Below are 22741 nucleotides of genomic sequence, written 5' to 3' on the forward strand. Positions count from 1 at the left end.
CTACAGGCACATATTACCATGCCTAATTTTTTATTTTTTTGTAGAGATAAGGTCTCACTATGTTGCCCAAGCTGATCTCAAATTCCTGGACACAATTGATCCTCCTTCCTTGACTTCCCAAAGTTCTTGGATTACAGGCATGAGCCACCACACCCAGCAGGTTTTATTTTAAATAATACATTCCTGATTAAGACAAAAAACAATAGTAATAGGATGTAAGATGAAAAGTCAAAGACTAGCCATTTCCCTCCTACCTTCCCACTTTCCAGAGTTGACCATTCCTTAATACTTTCTTGTGAAGTGGAGGTCTCTCTCTCTCTCTCTCTCTCTGAGAAGCAGCCCCCTAACTTACTGAAGCTAGATTAGATCTGTCTGTATTCGAGAGAACTGTTTGCCCCATATCATAGGATTTGTCACACTTTATAGTGATTATCTGTTTACTTGGTTTTCTCTCATACTAGTCCATGTGTTCTGAAGTATAGAATAGTTTGGAGGTTAAAATAACATACCCTGGCTCTAGACTGCCTGGGTTTGAATCCCAGCTCTGCTATTGATTAGTTGTGTATCATAAGGGGAAAGTTATTTAACTTCCTTTGCCTAATGGTAGTATTTTATAGCATTGTTGTGAGGATTAAATTAGTGTATATATGTATATAAACGTATAGACATACATATAGTACTTAGAACAGCACCCAGTTCATAGAAAGTGCTCAATAAATATTAGTTGTTATTAAGAATAGCATTTAGCATTTTTCTGGTCTGTATTCAGTATAAATTTATGGAAGATTGAATGAACTCATGTTTCAGTTAGTGGCTGAAATAGAATCTTAATACTTGGTCTGATCAAAGGGCATAGGTTTAGTTCTTGTTCTCTTATGAATTGTTGAGTTTCTTCCTGTTTTCTCCCATTGCATCAACTGCATTTCTCCTTGTGATGTTCTCTCATAGAATGGTTAGCTATTTATAGCTTATTTTTAAATTGTGTTTGACCAGTCCATATTCAAAGAATGCTTTATTTAAGTACTAGAAACTTTTTTGGTGTTTACTATAGAAAGGTTTAGGTTGGTATAAGCTTAAATTTAATTGAGTTTCTGTTTTCAATGAAATTATTTATTCACTCATTCATTTGTTATTTGTCTAGTACTTTTGGGCCATCTACTATATATCCTTTATTATGAAAGTCACTTTCTGAGCTTTGAGGAATTGAGTAGATAGATCAAGCAGACATAAAGAACATTTTAAAATCTAATCCTCTTAACTTTGCTAGAACTTATCTGTTCTTCTAGTTGTCATCACTCTAGTTCTTATATTATACAGTCGACCCTCCATATCCGTGGTTCTATATCCATAGATTCAACCAACCTGGATTGAAAATATTAGAAAAGAAGTAGATGGTTATGTTTGTATTGAACATGTACAGACTCTTTTCTTGTTATTATTTCCTAAACACGATGGTATTACAACTGTTTACATAGCATTTACATTGTACTAGGTATTTTGAGTAATCTATAGATGATTTAGGGTATACAGGAGGATGTGGTGGGTTACATGCAAATCCTATACCATTTTATGTAAGAGACTTGAGCATCCATGGATTTTGGTATCTGTAGTGGGTCCTAGAACCAATCCCTCATCAATACTGAGGAACAACTGTACTTGTTTGTTTTATCACTTCTACTAAAGTGTAATACTTTGTAGGCAGGATCTAAATATGATTTACCTTTGTGTTCACTTTTATCACTTGATCTGTCTTGTGTGTGGTTAAGTTTTTTGAAGAATGATAGTAGTGGCACCTTTATGTGTCGGGTGCTGTTTAGAATAGATACCATTACTTCCATTTGACATATGAAGAAATAAAAACTTGTTAGGTTAAGTAATTTGCTCATTTACACACCTAATAAGTATTAGAAATGAGGTTAGGTTTGTCTGACTGCCAACCCTTGATTTCTAAAATAAGCACAATACTATTTGACATATTTACTTGTACTCAAAGTGACAGGGATGTAACGTATATGAAATTCTGTCACTGCACTAATAGTTTTTTCTGGTTTAAGTATACATTACATTCCTTTACACCTTATTATTTATTTATTTATTTAGAAACAGACCCTCAGTCACCCAGGCTGGAGTGCAGTGGTATGATCTTGGCTCACTGCAACCTCCACCTCCAGGGTTCAAGCGATTCTCATGCCTCAGCCTCCCGAGTAGCTAGGATTACAGGTGTGTGCCACCATGCCTGCTAATTTTTGTATTTTTAGTAGAGATGGGGTTTCACCATGTTGGCCAAGCTCATCTCGAACTCCTGACCTCAAGTGATCTGCCCGCCTCGTCCTCCCAAAGTCCTGGGATTACAGGTGTGAACCACCATGCCTGGCCCCTTTATACTTTAGATACTATGAGCAGTAATATAATATCTATACTGGTGGAATAGTTGATATTCATTAGATTGAGATACAAAGAATATGATGTTGCTTTATCTTTTTGGTATGTCTGAATAATTGTAGTTTGAGAGAAGCAGTTTTTTTTTTTTTTGAAATGGAGTCTTGCTCTGTCGCCCAGGCTGGAGTGCAGTGGCGCGATCTTGGCTCACTGCAACCTCCATCTCCCAGGTTCAAGCGATTCTCCTGCCTCAGCCTCCCAAGTAGCTGGGATTACAGGCACGTGCCACCACACCCAGCTAATTTTTATCTTTAGTAGAGACGGTGTTTCGCCATGTTGGCCAGGCTGGTCTTGAACTCCTGACCTCAGGTGATCCACCCACCTTGGCCTCCCAAAGTGCTAGGATTACAGGCATGAGCCACTGCGCCTGGCTGAGAAGAGCAGCTTTAAAGTACATCATAATAATGGTGGGTGTTTCCTTCAGTTAGGAAATGAGCATTTTGCTATGATTTTTATTTTAAAAAAGAGATGGAGAATTTTTGAAGGTATCCTTATATAATGATTTATCTGCACATGTATCATTATTAATGTATCAAAGGAAAATGGAAAGTGACATGTTGATTAACTAGATTTGATTAATTTGATTAATTAGATTTCTTCCAACTCAGTGACATTTGTAACACGTGACAGGTTGCTTGATAAAGGGTAACATTTCTCTTACAAATGCTACTTTTGTTATTTTTTTTCTTTTGGTGATCTGTGCTGTCATTTGCATGTTAGTAATCTGATTTTAAGAATTTTGTATTTTGGGGAACATAACCATGTTAAAAGACAGTTTATTTTAGTACTGAAAGAAAATAGTTACTTTTACTCTCATTTATTTAATTTCTGTTCATTTTTTCCCTGTATTTAGAAACAAAAAAAACATCACGAATCTTTCCCGCTTAGTTGTCCGCCCCCACACAGATGCTGTTTACCATGCCTGCTTTTCTGAGGATGGTCAGAGAATAGCTTCTTGTGGAGCTGATAAAACCTTACAGGTAAAACACATCTCTTGAGAAAAATGCAAAGAGGCATGTATCCAGTTTTGTGCAGATCAGAATATGTTTAAATCCTAAAATTCAAGAAAATTGCAACTTAGAAATAACAGAGGAATCCAGCTCTCTTGAACATTTTATTAAAGGTTTCTCTAGAGATTTAAAAGATACAGTTACATGTTTTCCTAATTCTAAACTTACAGGTGGTAAGGAAGTGCCCTTTACCCTGCCAGTCAGTTCCCAGCCATCCATTTGTCAGCTAAGGGTAGTGAGGAAATAATTGTTAGAAGACGTAGGGCTTCATAGCACAGGGAATAGGGCTGTGATTAAAAAACAGTGATTAGGAAAATACCTATTTTATCAAAGTCTTAGGCATAGGTTTTTTTCTTGTAAATAGGAACTGGACTAGACTATTTCCTAAGTTGTTTTAAAGAATTTCCTTTAAGATTCCCTTTGTTTTCAGAAAATATTAATGAGTACTTTTCTTTATGTTTGTGTTCTGCCTTTTGATTTTGCAGAGAACATGATGAAATTAGTTAAAACTTGTATTTAGGATACTTTTAGTCTTTGCAAGATTATGACTCCATAGCTTATGTCTATATGTGTACTTTATTACTAATTTTATTAATCTTGGCTTTTGAGTTCCAGAGAGAATGCATATTAAATGAAATGTTTTATTTGATTGTTAAGAATTTGCCAAAATAGTCTCAAGAGCTGAAGCTGTGCTCTGACACTTCTTTTTGATGGCAGCGGCGGGCTGCCTGGAGTGGCTGCTGCCATCATGCTGGCTGCAGCAGGGAGGCGCAGCTGGGGCTGCATGCTCTGTGGAGCTGGCGGTAGCTGGGGACAAGCAGGAACCCTACCCCTTCTGAATTGGGGCAGGAGCTCCTGGTTCCTGCTGTAGCCGCCCAAGCCACAGCTGTGGACCTGGGAACCCGCTCCATGGAGCAGGCCAGAGCCCTGCCCTCCTGGGTGTAGCTGTAGCCGCCCAAACCACAGCTGCAGGCTCGGGCCTCCGGCTCCACAGAGCAGGCAGGACCCCTTCCCCCTGGTGCAGCTGTAGCTGCCCAAGCGGTGGCTGCAGACTCAGGCATCCCTGTACTCTTGGGGGACCTGGAAGGACCCCCTGCCCTTGTAGGCTTGGAAGTGCCTGCTCCCGCTGCCTGACTTCTCCCTACTGTTGGCACCCACTCTGATCTTAGAGCAAAGCTGGGGCTGAGCCTGGGTGCTGTTGCAGCCCGGCCAGATGTGCACATGCTTGGGGCAGTGCTGACATGCCAGCCCCCTGCCGCCTCGGCCCCCTCCGGACTTTGGGTGCTGATGAGCATAGGAGGGAAGCCAAGGGGGTGCTGAGGGCAGTTTGATACTGGCCTGCAGGCTCCCCTTGGCACCTACAGCCTGGGTGCCATTCATGGCAGCAGGAGGCAGACAGGTTCCTGGGTGGAAGGGGGCGGGTCACCAATGAGGCCCCACCTTCAGGCCACAAAGGGCCTGAAGACTGGGGGCTGGGCTGCTGGTGTGGACTGAATGGACTGGAGTGGGAACTTATAGTGCCTTTTCCAGGCTTGCCCATGTCTGCCCATGGACCAGTTGGCATGTACTTCCTCCCTTCTGAAGCCCATAAAAGCCTCGGGCTTAGCCAGTGCTGAGCAGACACTGGGACAACCAGCTGCAGAGAGGAGCAACCCACTCTAGTGCCCCCTCTTTGCTGAGAGCTGTGCAGATGACAGGAGGACCAGCTGCAGAGAGGAGCTACCCTCTCTGCTGATAGCTGAACACTTGTCAGGAGGACTTGCCTAGCAGAGAGGAGCTACCCTCTCCTGAGCTGTGGAAAGGAGCTGCCCCCCGCAGGTTTATTGAGCTATTTTATCGCTCAATAAAGCTCCTGTTTGTCTTGCTCACCTTCCACCTGTCAGCGTACCACATTCTTCCTGGTTGTAGGACAAGAACTTGGGATCCCACTGAATGGTGAGGCTAAAAGAGCTGTAACACAAACAGGGCTGAGACATGCCCCTTGCTTGCCGCATTGCAAGTGAAGATAAGTAAAGAAAAGCTGCGGCCCTTCGGGGAGCCCAGACTTGGGAGCTCCCCAAGCTAGGGCTGTGACTCCCTCTTTGGGGCCCCGCGGTTCCTGGCATCTCCAAGCTTCTGGGCACCACCGTGTTCCCCGGTGCCAGCGTGTAAGCTGCTTGTGGTGTGCCTGGTCCAGCCACAGCCTCACAGAGAGCCAGAGCCCATGCTGGCACCTGGAGCTGCCTGCCCCGCTGCAGCAGTCAGCACGTCTGTGCGCAGTGGCTGGACCCCACGCTCACTCACACACGCCTCGCTGTTCCACGCCTGACTCGCCCTTGGCAGGCTTGGGACCCAGGCTGGTAGTGTGAGCTGAATGCAGCCTGTCAGGCCAAGTGGGTGAAACAAGACCAGTGGGCCCAAGCAAAACTTGGGCAAAGGCGCCACCGGCCACAGAAGTTTCTGGCCAGAAAATCAACACCCCAAAGATCCTGTAACATTTTCATTGATATTTACAAACATGTAACAGTGAATAGTTCTCTAGTTATGTGAAGGCATACACATTCTGACAGAAATTCTGATTTTGGGAGTAGCTTTGCCAAGGTTCCTTTCTGTTTTGCAAAATGACAATGATTAAACTCACTTAAAGATTTTTATTGAATGATGACCAGTAGTTAAGCAGTTTATTATAAAAAATATTTTATTGTTACTTGTGCAGGTGTTCAAAGCTGAAACAGGAGAGAAACTTCTAGAAATCAAGGCTCATGAGGATGAAGTGCTTTGTTGTGCATTCTCTACAGATGACAGATTTATAGCAACCTGCTCAGTGGATAAAAAAGTGAAGGTAGGAAAATCTTTTCCTCTTGAGTTGTAATCACAACAGAATTCATTTTATTTTTCCATGATCATGAGACCAGAGTAAGTAGAGTTAAAGGACTCTCACCTGTTGATCTACTAACCTGATTCATTGTAAATTAACACTATCTGAAAATTCTTTACTTTTTTTTAAAGAGACAGGATTTTGCTCTGTGACCCAGGCTGGAGGGCAGTGGCATGATCATAGCTCACTGTAAACTCCAATTCCTGGGCTCAAGTGATCCTCCTGCCACAGCCTTCCAAAGTGTTAGGATTATAGGTATGAGCCACTGTGCGTGGCCTGAAAATTCTTTATTTTTAAACACCAGCAAAAATGCCTAGGTTGATCACCTCAGGATTAAACAAGCAGTGGGGAAAAGCAATGACAAATTAGTGAGTTTGTCTTCCATTAATAGACAAGTCCATGGGTTAAATATCAGTTGAAATCTTTGAGTGCATTGTGATTAGGAGTGTTGCTGCACAAACTTGGGGATTCCTGTTGTAAGATACAATTTTAAAATGCAACCCCAATTTTTTTAATTTGCTTATGAACTGGCTTATATATTCAGTGGAAAACCAGGTGGATGAACAAACTAATAATTACGTTACTGGTCTAAAAACATAAATAGAGAAAAGTAAACAGAGTAATTTTTACTTATTTATTTTGAGGCAGAGTCTTGCTCTGACACCCAGACTGGAGTGCAGTGGTACAATCTCGGCTCACTGCAATCTCTGCCTCCAGGATTCAATTGATTCTTATGCCTCAGCCTCTTGAGTAGCTGAGATCACAGGTGTGCACCACCATGCCCAGCTAATTTTTGTAGTTTTGGTAGAGACAGAGTTTTGCCATGTTGGTCAGGCTGGTATTGAACTTCTGGCCTCAAGTGATCCGCCTGCCTTTGACTCCCAAAGTGCTGAGATTATAGGCATGAGCCACTGTGCCCCGCCAGAGAGTAATTTTTATTTTTGTTAAGTATTCTCTTGTTCCTAAATTTGGCTTCTACCAGGAGCATTTATACTAATATAGAATTCAAGAGAAACTGAAGGCTTGTGGGGGTTATCACTGATATATGGAAGACAGACCTTACTTTAACCCTTTTTCAAAGGGGTTAAATCTGGAGTACTGGATGTAGCTAGGTGGAGTGGGCAAGAAATTTGCCTTGGGTGTTTTCCTGAAGTTTTCACCTACTGGAAGAGGGCTATGGAATGTCCAGACTAAATTTGAGACCTTGGAAAAATCTACCTCTTGATAGATTGGACTCGTGGCTTAACCAACAGTTAATTCACTCTGTAGTGTCTACTCTGACTCTGAGTCAGACTTGGAGGTGGCCACTGAGGGCAGTTCTAAAGTCAGAGCTACATGGAGTAAAAGGAAATAATAATGAGTTTCTGTTTTCTAAGCCAGAGGTAGAAATACCTATTAAAGAACTTTAAAATAAGATAAACTCTCTGGACCTCTGGGGATTCTAATCAGTGCTTTGATAACATACAAAGGAAATGCCAAAGGACATTAGTACCTCTAAAAAGTCAAAATCCCAGTGAAGGTTCATTAGGTAATTTATTTCTTTTGTTTGTTGTTATATGGCATAGACTGCTTAGTTGTCTTACATAGTAACTAGAATGATGATTAATTTTTTTGTTTTTTTTTTTTTTTTTTTGAGACGGAGTCTCGCTCTTTCGCCCAGGTTGAACTGCAGTGGCGCTATCTCGGCTCACTGCAAGCTCCGACTCCCGGGTTCATGCCATTCTCCTGCCTCAGCCTCCCGAGTAGCTGGGACTACAGGCGGCCGCCACCGCGCCTGGCTAATTTTTTGTATTTTTAGTAGAGACGGGGTTTCACCATGTTAGCCAGGATGGTGTTGATCTCCTGACCTCGTGATCTGCCCGCCTCGGCCTCCCAAAGTGCTGGGATTACAGGCGTGAGCCACCGCGCCCGGCCTGATGATTACTTTTTACTGAAAACTGAACACTATAAGAGGCTATAAATACTACACACTTTGTCATATTACATTATCAATTTCCTGCTACAGCTTGCAGGGTTAAGTGTCGATCCCGTTTACAGAAGAGGACGCAGATTCAGAGATGAAGTCTCTTGCTCAAGCTTACATTAAACTGGGAACAGTAATAGGGTTGAAAGCTGGGTTTCTCTCAGACTATAAAACCTTTATTTTTTTTAACTAAGCAATCTGCCTTTACTTATTTATATGGTACCTTGAAGTCCATAGAACACTTGTCATGTTCATTATCTCATTTGATATCTTAAATTGTGTGGGAGAGGTATAGATATCCCCATTTTACAGAAGAGGGAACTGAGATGCAGGTAAGTTAGGGATTTGTGACACACAAGTCATAAGTGGTAGAGCCAGCTCTTGGGCTCAACCCTTCTGACCAGAAATCTATTATGCTAACCTCTTTAAAGCACTTCTCTGCCTGCTTTCATTCATATAAACATGTGAAATCTTGCCCTTAAGAAATGTCATGTGTTCATGACACTCTAGTTATGCTATAGGTACATATATGTATATTTGCAAATAATTTTTTTTAAACATTAAGGCAAAATATTGCCATATTTTAGAAAGGGGAGAGGTTTCATTAGCATCTTGTCCAACTAGGAAAATCTGCTATGACAGGATAAGATAGCATTTGCAAAGCAATGGACATTGCTTTGCCCCTCTGTTCTCCCTTTGAAAATAATGGATATTTGTAAATTTTTTCTCTTTTCTCTTTAGATTTGGAATTCTATGACTGGGGAACTAGTACACACCTATGATGAGCACTCAGAGCAAGTCAATTGCTGCCATTTCACCAACAGTAGTCATCATCTTCTCTTAGCCACTGGGTCAAGTGACTGCTTCCTCAAAGTAAGTGTGGATATTGAGAATTAGGTAGATAAATTTGATTCGTACATCAGAGTATCTCCTTTGATTTTCTTATGTATACTACTATTAGGACTTTCTGGTCACAATGATAGAAACTACAATAATATATTAGCTGAAGCAAAAAAAAAATAGCTTAAAAATATTTTATTGGCTCATGTAACTGAAAAGTCTAGAGGGAGCATGGCTTCAGGCATAGCTGACTCCAAATGCTTAAACTGTGTTCTCAGGCTCTACCTCCCTTTCCATCTCCAGAGTCTTGACTTCCTCTGTGTTGGTTCAGGCATGCTCTTTCTGTGGCAGAAAATGTGGCTACCTTACAGCTCACAATCACAGAGTAAGAGAAATGTGCTCTCTCCTAGAACCCATAGATCTAATTTTAGAGAAGCCTTTATTTGACTCATTTTGGCTTACATGCTCATAGCTAGGGTAACCCCAGTGGACAGTAGGATGGAATCCTTGGATTGTCCAAGGGTCACAAGTTTAGTTATATGGAAGTGGGACAAATGAGTGAGGTCAACTCTACTTGAATCGTAAGTAGAGCTTAATTCAAAAGAGAGTTCTGTTATCACAGAGAGGAGGGAGAAAAGGTGCTGGTAGGAAAGATAACCAAAAACAGAAATTCATTCCACATATGCTTTGTAATGTTTGATTGTATCTTTTTTTCCTCTTAAGTGGATAAAGATAGCTAGATTACCTTTTCTGGAATCCCAGAAAGATCTGCTAACTTTTTTTGAATTGTTTTTTGGTTTGATTTCAAACCTTTCTTCCTTGATACCATACCATCTTTGCAATTGAACATGATATTTTTGAGAGGGGTAGTAAAAGACATTTCAGTTTGGAAAACTTCATAGACTCTATGTTTTGACATTTAAATAAATTATTAGAAAAATTATCTTTAGAAAGTACTGAAACAGTTATTGAAAATTGCCGTCTCCATCCCCCTGTTCAGGAAGCTAAATTTTTATTTATTTATTTATTTTTTCAGAAGAAAAAATTATACAGAAGCTCAGTGTGTATAAGAGTTAAAGCTTGCTGCTCTGGCTGAATGGGACCTACATTTCTTCTTGACTCTCTCTTCCTCCCCCTTTCCCTCTCCTCTCTCTCTCTCCCTCTATCCCTTTCCCTTCCTGTCACCTTCCCTTCCTCTTGACCTTCCTTTCTCTCCTCCTCCCTCTCTTCTTCTGTCTCCTCCTCCTCCTCCCTCCTCCTCCCCCCACCCCCCCTCTCATTCTCTCTCATTCCCTTTCATCTCTAACCTCTCCGCACCACATAGTGCTCTTTAGGCATATTTATGTTTATAGAATCCCAAGGACCCTGCAGAGCACAATTTGAAAACACTGGATTGGACCAAAATTACAGAGTAATGTAGTAACATAAAATTATATCACAGTTATGGTTCACTTTTACTCAAAAAAACTTGGCCCTATTTGAATAAATGTACCACTAAAAAAAAATAAGACTGTTATACTATTTACGACTAATTTTTGATGTTGCTTTTGGCATTTTGTAGGTTGAGGAAATAAATACAGGAAAAAACCTCTGCCATGTGGGAGGGGGTTATTGGTTAGTAAGCCATTTTAATTAAGGACAAGGTTTACTTTAAGATGTGCTATACTACCTATATTACCATAAGGACTATTAGGATGCATTTCTTGTGATTCTTGAGCAGAGAGAAGCCAGTGAAAATATGTAATTGTGAAGCTGCCTTCATGTAACTTGCTTTATCTGAAGAATTGAGTTTATCTAGGACTGGGATAAAGGAGTCAAAGATAGAAGTGGACATGAGGAACAGTATATATCTCACTTACTAATCATTTCTAAATAATTTTTGCCAAAACTAACATTTAGCAATAATTGATTTCTTCTTCTGGGTTTAATCTTATTAGCATAAATCACCAGAGATGACTATAATCCCTTTTATTTGCATTTTTTATACTTTCCAAACCTACCCAAAGAGAGGAGATATAATATAAACCCCTGTGGTATCCATCATTTAGTTTCAACAATTATCAGTATTTTGTCAATCTTATTTTATAAATACCCCTCCCTTTTTTTTTTTTTTGAGATGGCATCTTGCTCTGTCGCCAGGCTGGAGTGCAGTGGCACGATCTTGGCTCACTGCAACCTCTGCCTCCCGGGTTCAAGCGATTTCCCTGCCTCAGCCTCCTGAGTAGCTGGGACTACAGGTGCCGTGCCACCATGCCTGGCTAATTTTTTGTATTTTAGTAGAGATGGGTTTTCATTATGTTGGCCAGGATGGTCTCAATCTCCTGATCTTGTGATCGCCTGCCTCAGCCTCCCAAAGTGCTAGGATTACAGGTGTGAGCCACCACGCCCAGCTTATAAACTCCTCCACTTTTTTGAATAGAGTCTTCCTCTATCACCCAGGCTGGAGTGCAGTGGAGCGATCTTGGCTCATTGCAACCTCTGCCTCCTGGGTTCAAGCAATTCTTATGCCTCAGCCTCCCAAGTAGCTGGGATTACAGGCATGGGCCACCACTCCCAGCTAATTTTTTGTGTTTTTAGTAGAGATGGGGTTTTGCTATGGTGGTCAGGCTGGTCTTGAACTCCTGACCTCAGGTGATACGCCCACCTCAGCCTCCCAAAGTGCTGGGATTACAGGGGTGAGCCGCCATGTCCAGCCTGAATAGAGGATTTTACAGCAAGTCCTAAATATGTCATTTCACCCAAAATATTTAAGCATGCATCTCAGAGATCTTAAATATAAATACTATGTTTATTATCATACCATACTATTATCACACCTAACATAATAAAATATAGTTTTGTAATATACTTGGTCCATGTTCACTTATTCCATATTCTCAAAACATGCATTTCTATCATGTTTGTTGGAATCAGAATCCAAACAAACTTTATGTAGCATTTGTTCTGCCTCTTAAGTCTCTTTTATTCTATTAAAGTTCCCTTTTTCCTCTGACTGCTTTCTTATACCATTGATTTATTAGAGCAATTTAGTCATTTGTCCCATGGAATGTGCCATATTTTGGATTTGGTTAATTGCTTCCTAGAGGTGGTACTTGACTTGCTCCACCATTTTTAGGGTTGGATAACCTGACATTTAAAAAATATGGGGGTAATTTATATTACATATTACTTATTGTGGCTTTTTGTAACTGAGTAAAATAATAATGATTCTAAACCACTCCGTTGAAATAAGTAGTAATTGTTTAGTTAGTTATTTAGTACTCAGCCTAAAAACCTCGGTGAGCCTTTGAGTCCCTTAGTCGATTTACATGCTGATCTAAAGGCTGCCCCATTGCTTGTTAATCACAAGTTCATTTTTGTGTTTGATACGTTTGTGTTACTGTGAATTAAACATCATTCTGTAATCAAAAAGCTTAAATGAGAGAAAAGGAAGAACTTCACATGATTTCTGATGTTTCCCCACTCAATACTAGTTGTTTATTTATCTTTTTTTCTTTCACAAATAGCTTTGGGATTTGAATCAAAAAGAATGTCGAAATACCATGTTTGGTCATACAAATTCAGTCAATCACTGCAGATTTTCACCAGATGATAAGCTTTTGGCTAGTTGTTCAGCTGATGGAACCTTAAAGGTATGCTTTTGTACACTATTAAAATAGGTTGTATTTTATGGAAAGTCTTATGATTTGATTATAGAAATAGGTTTCTGTTTTTTCACATTTCTACAGAAAGAGCCTGCTTCTTTCAATTTCCAGGAGCATATTTAATGTAACTGTAATTGCTTATCGTAATGATTGTTTATGAATGGTGTACAACCTAATGCTTAAAGTTCTATAATGTAGGCTGGGTGCGGTGGCTCACGCCTGTAATCCCAGCACTTTGGGAGGCCGAGGTGGGTGGATCACAAGGTCAGGAGTTCAAGACCAGTCTGGCTAAGATGGTGAAACCCCGTCTCTACTAAAAATACAAAAATTAGCTGGGTGTGGTGGTGAGTGCCTGTAATCCCAGCTACTTGGGAGGCTGAGGCAGAGAATTGCTTGAACCCGGGAGGTGGAGGTTGCAGTGAGCTGAGATCACGCCACTCCACTCCAGCCTGGGCGACAGAGTGAGACTCCGTCTCAAAAAAAAAAAAAAAAGTTCTGTAATGTAGAATTTTTATTCTTTTAATTTGAATTCTTAAATTTTAAGTGTACATTTTGTTTCAAGCATATGTTCATAAAATATTTTGAGATCTGTTTTAGTTTATTTTGTGCTTCTATAATTTATGTTGTGCTTCTATAAATTGTGAGTAATTTATAAAGAATGGAGATTTATTTCTTACAGTTCTGGGGGAGAGGGTACCAGCAGAGAAGGGAGAGAGTGAGGAGGCGGCTGAACTTATCCATTTATCAGGAACCTAGGTAATAGCATTAATCCATTCATGAGGGTAGCGCCCTCATGACCTAATCACTTTTGAAGGTCCCATCTCTCAATACTTGCATCAGGGATTAAGTATTTAATACATGAACTTTGGGGGACACGTTTAAACCACAGCAAGATCTATGGGTCAGGTTTGTAAAGGATCTGGCTTTTGTTTTTGTTTTTGTTTTTGAGACAGTCTCACTCTGTCGCCCAGGCTGGAGTACAATGGTGTGATCTTGGCTCACTGCAGCCTCTGCCTCCTGGGTTCAAGCGATTCTCGTGCCCCAGTCTCCCAAGTAGATAGGAGTACAGGCGCCTGCCACCAAGCCTGGCTAATTTTTGTATTTTTAGTAGAGACGGAGTTTCACCACGTTGGCCAGTCTGGGGACCTGTTTTTACTTATAATTTATTCATTCTGCCTTTTATATTATTGCTTTCTTGTTTTTGAGAAGCCACAAGGTAGGAAAAATGCAAGAGTTAGGGAAAAAAGCTTATTCAGCCTTCTGAAATTTATAGGCCTAAAAAAATGAAATAATTCTTCCTCAAATCCCCACCTTCTCCAATAAGATTCCCAATTCCACTTTATTATTCCTGTCTCTATTGTCTCTCCTGTTTATTGACTGTCCTTTCTTTCTTTGGTCTTAAGATCAACCCATCTTTGACATTGTTGTCTCTTGGTCTACATTTTTCCCTCTTGTTCTGTAGTAGTTGCTCTAGTTCAGGCTGTTGTCTGCTCATGCCTGATAGCAACCATCTAAGATGCATTCTGCATCTCTTCTTATCTAAGTTCAGAGATACTAGAATAACCTTCTACCACTGTTTTCTTTCTTTTTTTTTTTTTTTTTTGGAGACAGAGTCTCACTCTTTCACTCAGGCTGGAGTGCAGTGGTACCATCATGGCTCACTGCAGCCTTCACTTCTGGTCTCAAGCAGTCCTCGTACTTCAGCCTCTCAAGTAACTGGAATCACAAGCATGTGCCATCACACCTGGCGAAATTTTTTTTTTTTTTTTTTTTTTAGAGATAGGATCTTACTATGTTGCCCATGCTTGTCTCCAGCTCCTGGGCTCAAGCAATCCCAGTGCTGGGATTATAGGCGTGAGCCACCAAGCCTAGCCTACCACTCTTTTCTTTTTTCTTTTCTTTTCTTTTTCTTTACTCTTCTCTTTTCTTTCTTTCTTTCTTTTTTTTGAAACAGGGTCTTATTCTGTTGTCTAGGCTGGAGTGCAGTGGCCTGATCCTGGCCCACCACAGTCTATCTCCTGGGCTTAGATGATCCTCCCACCTCAGCCTCTTGAGTAGCTGGGACTGCAAGTGCCTGCTACCATGCCCAGCTAATTTTTTGTACTTTTATTAGAGATGGGGTTTTGCCTATGTTTCCCAGGCTGGTCTGAAACTCCTGGGCTCGAGTAGTCTGCCTGCCTTGGCCTCCTGAAGTGCTGAGATTATAGGAGTGAGCCACTGCATCCGGCCCTACCACTATTTTCAACATAAATTATGCCATAGTATAAACTGTAGGAAACGCAGACTCATTGGGATGACTTCTAAGGTTCTTCACCTTCCGTCATTCTGCCACATCCTTTCCTGTCAAGTTTGTTTCTTCTAACCCCTATACCTTAATTGTCTGTTCTGGGCAAGGTGTTTTATTTCAGCTACTGTCCCTGTATGTGTTTCTTGGGATGTTTCCTATGTGTGCCCCTGTAGCTTTTCTTAGGATGTTTTTTGCCTTCGATTTCACTTGCCATATTTTTTAATGCCCGTCAAAACTTTAGGCAAAGCCTTTTGTGTGAGGGTGAGAGAGAGAGAGAGAGAGAGAGAGAGAGTGTGTGTGTCTGTGTGTGTGTGTGTGTGTGTGAGAGAGAGACACAGGGTCTTACTTTGTCACCCAGGCCGGAGTGCAGTGGTCTGGGCTAACTAAAGTGATCCTCCTGCCTCAACCGCCTGAGTAGCTGGGACTTCAGGCGTGTGTGACAATGCCTAGCTAATTTTGTTTAATTTTTGTAGAGATGGGGCCTCCCTGTGTTACCCAGGCTGGTCTTGAACTAAGCTCAAGCGATCCTCCCACTTTGGTCTCCCAAAGTACTGGGATCACAGACATGAGCCACCACACCTGGACTGCAAAGCATTCTTCAGAAAGTGTTCTCTTACAGCATCCATCTGTTTGGTTCTGAGTACATATATCTATCTATATCTATAGGTAGAAACTGCTTGGTTTGTCTTCTGATTTCCACTTATAAATGTGTTGTACTGTTCAGTCATTTTAATGTGTCTTCTGTTTCTTTGATTAGGTTGAATATAGGTTTATGATCTGCAGGGAACTTGACATCTTTTTGTTGTATTATACCTTTCTTTGTAACTCATAGTACAGAATTGTACTCAAGTATTCAGTAAATTTTCTTGACTACACCTTTTCTAGGAAAATACTTAAATACTCCTGGGCACTATTTTGTTTGTTAGAATCTCTAGGGAAGGAGATTCAGCAATGCTACTAACTCCTGAGAAAGGTAAACTGTTTTGATTCTGATACTCTGGTTGAATCTTTGATCTTGCTTTGCTGACGGAAGATAACTGTTTTTGTATAAATTACTCCAGAGTATCTAGAAACTCTTTCTGGGTAGAATTCTACTTTGTAGAGTTTAGCTAGCTGTTAGTGGGTGCTGGGAGCATTCTTAGGTAGAATATTCAGGTAAGTGGATTTTGGCCTCTATGCTATATCTATCTGCTTCTTCCTTTAGAATGATCCATGTCATGGGAGGTTTTTCAGAATACCCGTGGATGGATTTAGGCAGCCCTCCTTTCATTTTGTCAGCCTATTATTTCCTGGTTTTTACTCAGTGAAAGACTTCAGAAGAAGGCATTTTATATTTTAAGTTTTCCTTTCATCTTATCTCCTTTGCTAATTCCAAATTCTGGGAAGACTGCATTATCCTTAGCATGTTTGCCATTATTATTAGGTTGCCAAATGTTCAAGAAAGCTGTAAAACTAGGCCATTTATGTGTTGTACAAATATAAGTTGTACAGCTCAGCTGGGCCTTATTTGCCGCTGAATTATGGTCTGTTCATCCCTAATTTATTTGCTTTTCCACTAGTGCCTATTCTAATCCTTTTCTGCTGTTCTTAAGCCCCTAACCCTTTTATTTTATGGCAATAATGTTACCTCATACCCATTCAAAGGATTAAAACCATCCACCAAGAGTCCCCTATCATAAGCCCCCTCAGAAATTGCTGTAAAAAGCCTCTGCTCCATTTTTTCTCATAACAGTGTCCAAAAAGTCCTGTACTTGGGCCAGACATGGTGGCTCATGCCTGTAATCCCAGCACTTTGGGAGGCCGAGGTGGGCGGATCATGAGGTCAGGAGTTCGAGACCAGCCTGGCCAACATGGTGAAACCCCGTCTCTACTAAAAATACAAAAATTAGCTGGGCGTGGTGGCGCATGCCTGTAATCCCAACTACTCAGGAGGCTGAGGCAGGAGAATTGCTTGAACCCGGGAGGCGGAAGTTGCAGTAAGCTGAGATTGCGCCACTGCACTCAAGCCTGGGGGAAGAGCGAGACTCCGTCTTGAAAAAAAAAGAAAAAATCCTGTACTTGTACCTACTGTTCCTCCCTTTCCTTCTTTTCCTGGCACCTTGTTTCATTAGTTGTTTCCTCTCTATGTTGCTTCTTCAGATTTTTCTTCTTTTTTGAATTATTTTCCACAGCTTACAAATGTTCTTGGGCCTTCCTGAGCCTTATAAAGCCAAAAAGTGAAAAACCTTTGATTCTTCCTTGATTGTATTGTTCTTTAAAATTGTCATTCTGTTTTTCTCTTTCCCTTCATGACTGGGCTTCTTAAGTCATCTATACTTGCCTCTGTTTCCTGACTACCTACTCCCTGCTTAACCATTTTTTAGCCTGGTTTCATCTTCCCTGTATTCCCTTGAAGAATGTAAAAATCCAGTTTTATTTTCAGTTTCAATTTTTTTTGTAGTCTAAGGCCCTCTGGATTAGTGTGAAATCTGATATTTTTCTTTATCTGATTCTCATTATTTTTGTTGTATTACTATTGGTCAAACCCCCAATGACCACCTAGTTTTTTTGTTTTTTTGTGTTTTTTTTGAAACTCTCCTCATTTTACATCAATGTTTTATTCTTTCTCCTCTTAGCTCTCTGATCCCTTCATTAACTATTTTCCCTGACCATTAAAATGTAGCTATTCCTGCAGCATCTAACCTTGGCTACCACCTCTATCACCGCTCTTCCATCCCAGTTCATTCAGTCTCATGGCTTCAACTCATCTTTTTTCAGGTATGTCATCTGCAACCTTCATTTTATGAGCTGTGTTCTTCATTCCTAACTTCCTGCTAGTTGTTGTCACTTAAGTAACATACCATGCCTCAAAGTTATTGCACTCCAAACTGAGTTAATTATTCTCTTCTCAAACATGACCTACTTTTTATGTTTCATTATTATTTTTTTTAGACAGAGTCTCGCTCTGTTGCTGAGGCTGGAGTGCAGTGGCGCGATCTCGGCTCACTGCAAGCTCCGCCTCCTGGGTTCATGCCATTCTCCTGCCTCAGCCTCCCTAGTAGCTGGGAGTACAGGCGCCCGCTGCCATGCCCGGCTAATTTTTTGTATTTTTGAGTAGAGACGGGGTTTCACCACATTAGCCAGAATGGTCTTGATCTCCTGACCTCGTGATCCGCCTGCCTCGGCCTCCCAAAGTGCTGGGATTACAGGCGTGAGCCACTGCACCCAGCCTATGTTTCATGATTTAAAAAAAAAAATTTCAACTTTTATTTAGATTCAGGGGTACATGTGCAGGTTTGTTATGTGAGTATATTGCATGATGCTGATGCCGAGGTTTGGGTACAACTGGTCCTGTCATCCAGATAGCATAGTACCCAATAGGTGCCTCATTCCCCCCTCCCCAACTCTAGTAGTCCCCAGCATTTATTGTTCTTATCTTTATGTCTTTGTGTACCCAATGTTTAGCTCTGGCTTATAAGTGAGAACTTGTGGTATTTGGTTTTCTGTTCCTGCATTAATTTGCTTAGGATAATGGCCTCCAGCTGCATTCATGTTGCTGGAAAGGACATGATTTTATTCTTTTTTATGGCTGTGTTGTATCCCATGGTGTATATGTACCATATTTCCTTTAACCTTCCGTTGATGGGCACCTAGGTTGGTTTGTGTCTTTGCTGTTACGAATAGTGCTGCAGTGAATATACAAGTGCATGTGTCTTTTTGGTAGAATGATTTGTTTTCCTTTGGGTGTATACCCAGTAATGGGATTGCTGGGTTGAATGGTAGTTCTGTTTTAAGTTATTTGAGAAATCTCCAAACTGCTTTACAAAGTCACCGAACAAATTTACATTCCCACCAGCAGTGTATAAGCGTTCCCTTTTCTCTGCAGCCTCCCTGGCATCTTTTATTTTTTGACTAAAAAAAAAAAACAACACATATATAAAAATTATATAGCAGTGTTTTGTAGTTCTCCTTGTAGAGATCTTTGACTTCTTTGGTTAGATGTATTCCTGGGTATTTTATTTTTTTGTGTGTGGCTACTGTAAATGGGATTGTGTTCTTGATTTGGCTCTCAGCTTTAATGTTATTGATGTACAGAAATGCTGCTGATTTTTTTTTTTCTTAAATAGAAAAAAGGTCTTACTACGTTGGCCAGGCTGGTCTCAAACTCCTGGCCTCAAGTGATCCTTTGGCCTCAGCCTCCCAAAGTGCTGGGCTTACAAGCATGAACCACTGTGCCTGGCTAACTGATTTTTGTACATTGATTTTGATTAGAACAGTGTTCAGGGTTTACATCATTGTAACTAATCACAATTGAGCCGTATCGTGTGAATTTTTTTCCTCTCTCATTAGCTTTCTGTTTTCCCTGGGGTTGATAAGTTTGTTTTTTCATTTGTTTAGTTTTTATATGTGCTTATCTTCAAACTCTCTCTTGTTAATTTGCTCCTTAAATGATTCAAACTTACCAGGCATTTTATAAGTCTTTTCTTGGAAACAACATTTTTGGAAGGTTCTATCTTGCTCCATTCTGGTCGGTAATGGTAATACTATTCCCAGAGTCCAGCTGCCATCCTGAGGTCTTCCTTACCATCATCCTAGGGATTCCTTTTGCTTTTCTTTTAAATTGGAACACTTGTTTTTCAGTTTTTTTTTTTTTTTTCGTCTTCTTTCTTGGCTTACTTTTTCAGCTTGGTGGAGAATCTCCTCTAGCTTCCTAAGAAAGAATCTATGGGAAGTAAATTTTTAAGGTGTCTTTATTATAATGTCTAAAGATGTCTCTGTTTTTCACTTGCTGATTTGCTTGAGTTCCTTATGAATTCTGGATATTAGACCTTTGTTGGATGCATAGTTTAACAAGGCCAACAAAAGCAATGCGGGAGAGGACTCTCTATTCAATAAATGGTGCTGGGATAACTGGCTAGCCATATGCAGAAGAATGAAACTAGACCTTTACCTTTTACCACATGTAAAAATTAAAGATGGATTAAAAATTTAAATATATGACCTCAAGCTATTAAAATCCTAGAAGAAAACCTAGGAAATACCCTTCTTGACATCAGTCTTGGCAAATAATTTTTGGCCAAGTCCTCAAAAGCAATTGCTACAAAAACAAACTTTGACAAGTGGAACCTAATTAAATGAAAGCTTCTGCACAGCAAAAGAAACTATCAACAGAGTAAACTGCCTACAGAATGGTGGCTTCTTTCAATCTGGAAACTTATCCTTCAGTTCTGGCATTTCCTTGAATTATTTGATTTCTTCCTATTTTCTCTTTCTGGAATGCTTGTGTTTCTGGATTAAAATTTTTTTTCCTCTCCTTCCTTCTTTTTGTCCATTTGCCCTACTTTTTGAAAGATTTCTTTAGCTTTACTTTTCTTTCCTTCTATTGAGTTTTAAATTTCTGCTACCATATTTTTAAGTATTCATTCTTGTGTGATTAGTTCCTTTTAAATATTATTCTGTTCTTGTTTCATGGATGCAGTATCTTTTATCTTTTTATGGGCATTAGTAATAGGGTTTTTTTTGAAGTTTTCATATTCCAGTGTAATAGATATTTTTCTATTTGTTGGTTTTGGTTTCTGTTTGGATTTTAGACATAGATATATCTTAGCTATCTGATCCTTTGCTATCTGCTCATATTTAAGAATACATCACCAACAAGTTGAATGGGAATTGTGAACTTTTAAATTGTGGTTTTCCTATGGGTTATCTGTTTTTATCATGAACAATTTTTTTTTTTTTTTTTTAGACAGTCTTGGTGTGTTGCCCAGGCTGGAGTGCTGTGGCACCATCTCGGCTCACTGCAAGATGGTGAACTTTTGATGTCAAAGTCTTTATATCTTTTGTCTTGAACTGGTTGGGTGTCCAGAGTAAAAATTTTCTTTTCTCTTTTTTCTTTTTCTTGCATTTTTTTTCCCTCCCGAGATGGAGTCTTGCTCTGTTGCCCAGGCTGGAGTGCAGTGGCGTGATCTCAGCTCACCACAACCTCTGCCTTTTGGGTTCAAGCAGTTCTCCTGCCTCAGCCTCCCAAGTAGCTGGGATTACAGGCACGCACCACCACACCTGGCTCATTTTTGTGTTTTTAGTAGAGACGGGATTTCACCATGTTGGCCAGGCTGGTCTTGAACTTCTGACCTTGTGATCCACCCTTCTTGGCCTCCCAAAGTTCTGGGATTACAGGTGTGAGCCACTGCGCCCAATGCCGCCCCCCCCCTTTTTTTTTTTTGAGACAGGGTCTCACTCTGTCACACAGGCTGGAGTGCTGGAGTGCAGTGGTGTGATTGCAGCTCACTGCAGCCTCAACCTCCTAGGCTCAAGTGATCCTCCCACCTTAGCCTCCTGAGGAGCTGGGACTACAGGTGTGCACCACCATGCCTGGCTAGAAGAAATTTTAATCTCCTATTTGTAGGATATGACTCTGGCCAGTTCTGAGATGATATCTGGGCAGAGATCTCAACATTTAGAAAAAAGACTTTCTCTTAATTTTCCTGTTTTCAGGTGACCCTTCTCTCAACTGTGTTGGGTATAGAATAGCCTTGTATTCTGCCAGAGTAGGGACACAGGCCCCCTGGGTTGCAGAGTGAAGGGAGGAGATTTCAATGGACTTTTAAAGATTCCTCTTGACTTAGCTTCACCTTTATCAGAAGGTACTGGGTGCCAGCACTTCCTGAGTCTTTTTGAAGGACTTAACTTCACCTTTATCAGAAGGTACTGGGTGCCAGCACTTCCTGAGTCTTTTTGGAGTTCTGTGGGGTGATTGGGCTGCTTGGATTTCTCCACTGCAGGCTCAGAATTTAATTTCTAGGAGTCTGCCTATTACTTGCCTTTCTGCTTTCTAGACTTGATGATTTTGTTGCTGCTGTCTCTTTCTCCATTTTCCTTCGCCTTGTGGATTATGCCGAGAGAAAAATTCCTATTACTATTGTTTACCTGAGTTTTGGGAGAGTTTGGAAATGGTCTGTGTCTGTTCTCTGTTTTCTGAAACATAATACCTGAGACTGGGTAATTTATAAAGAAAAGGGGTTTACTTGGCTCATGATTCTGATGGCCGGAAATTCCAGGATTGGGAAGCTACACCTGATGAGGGCCTTCGGCTGCTTCCACTCATGGTGGAAAGGGGAGGGGAAGTGGGCGTGTGCAAAGAGATCATATGAAAAGAGAGGATTGAAGATAGCGAAACCCAGGAAGCCAGACTGTTTTCAACAACCCGCACTCTTGAGAACTAATCCATTCCCAGGGAACTCACCCCAGTGGGAAGGCATTAGAAGGCATTCATCTGTTTATGAGGGATCCACCCCCATGACCCAGACACCTCCTATCAAGCCCTACTTCCCAACACTGCCACAGTGGGGATCCAATTTCAACACGAGTTTGGGTCAGGATAAATAAACCATCTCCAAACCATAGCAGAGCTGTATGTGTTCTCTGCATCTTTAACACCTGAACCCTATTTCTTTCAGCAACACTATTGTCTGTACTCGCCTGTGCTTGAAACTTGGGAGTGATCTTTTTGTTTGTTTGTTTGTTTTTAGAGACGGGGTTTCACCATGTTGCCCAGGCTGGTCTTGAACTCCTGGGCTCAAGTGGTCCGCTTGCCTAAGCCTCCCAAGGTGCTAGGATTACAGACATGAGCCACTGCACCCTGCCGGGAGTAATCAGTCTTTTCACTTAAAATGTATTTATTGAATACTTAGTGTGTGCCAGATACTGTACTAGGTATTTGGA

General features: G+C 40.8%; 1 protein-coding gene across 7 annotated transcripts in view, besides 1 other annotated feature; it reads left to right on the top strand.

Annotated features, from left to right (window-relative positions):
- APAF1 (apoptotic peptidase activating factor 1) overlaps window positions 1–22741 on the top strand; it is a 90144-nt gene that overhangs the window by 28843 nt on the left and 38560 nt on the right. For 5 of the 7 annotated variants that reach the window (NM_181861.2, NM_181868.2, NM_013229.3 and 2 more), the window contains 4 exons: window positions 3293–3419; window positions 6145–6270; window positions 9011–9142; window positions 12616–12741. The exons of 1 other annotated variant lie outside the window; for it this stretch is intronic. In NM_181861.2, coding sequence (NP_863651.1) covers window positions 3293–3419; window positions 6145–6270; window positions 9011–9142; window positions 12616–12741 — 511 coding nt within the window. Of the gene's footprint in view, window positions 1–3292; window positions 3420–6144; window positions 6271–9010; window positions 9143–12615; window positions 12742–17702; window positions 17798–22741 lie in introns of all 7 variants that reach the window. One more of the 7 variants, XM_047428759.1, reaches the window with a different exon arrangement.
- Window positions 4095–4666: an enhancer, noted in NCBI's record as "H3K4me1 hESC enhancer chr12:99072005-99072576 (GRCh37/hg19 assembly coordinates)". NCBI's record gives its function as "activates a minimal SCP1, AML or CMV promoter by ChIP-STARR-seq in naive H9 embryonic stem cells {active_cell/tissue: H9 hESC(naive)}" and the evidence as "EXISTENCE:reporter gene assay evidence [ECO:0000049][PMID:30033119]".

Source organism: Homo sapiens, chromosome 12 (genome assembly GCF_000001405.40).
Source record: "Homo sapiens chromosome 12, GRCh38.p14 Primary Assembly".
Classification (NCBI taxonomy): Eukaryota; Metazoa; Chordata; class Mammalia; order Primates; family Hominidae; genus Homo; species Homo sapiens.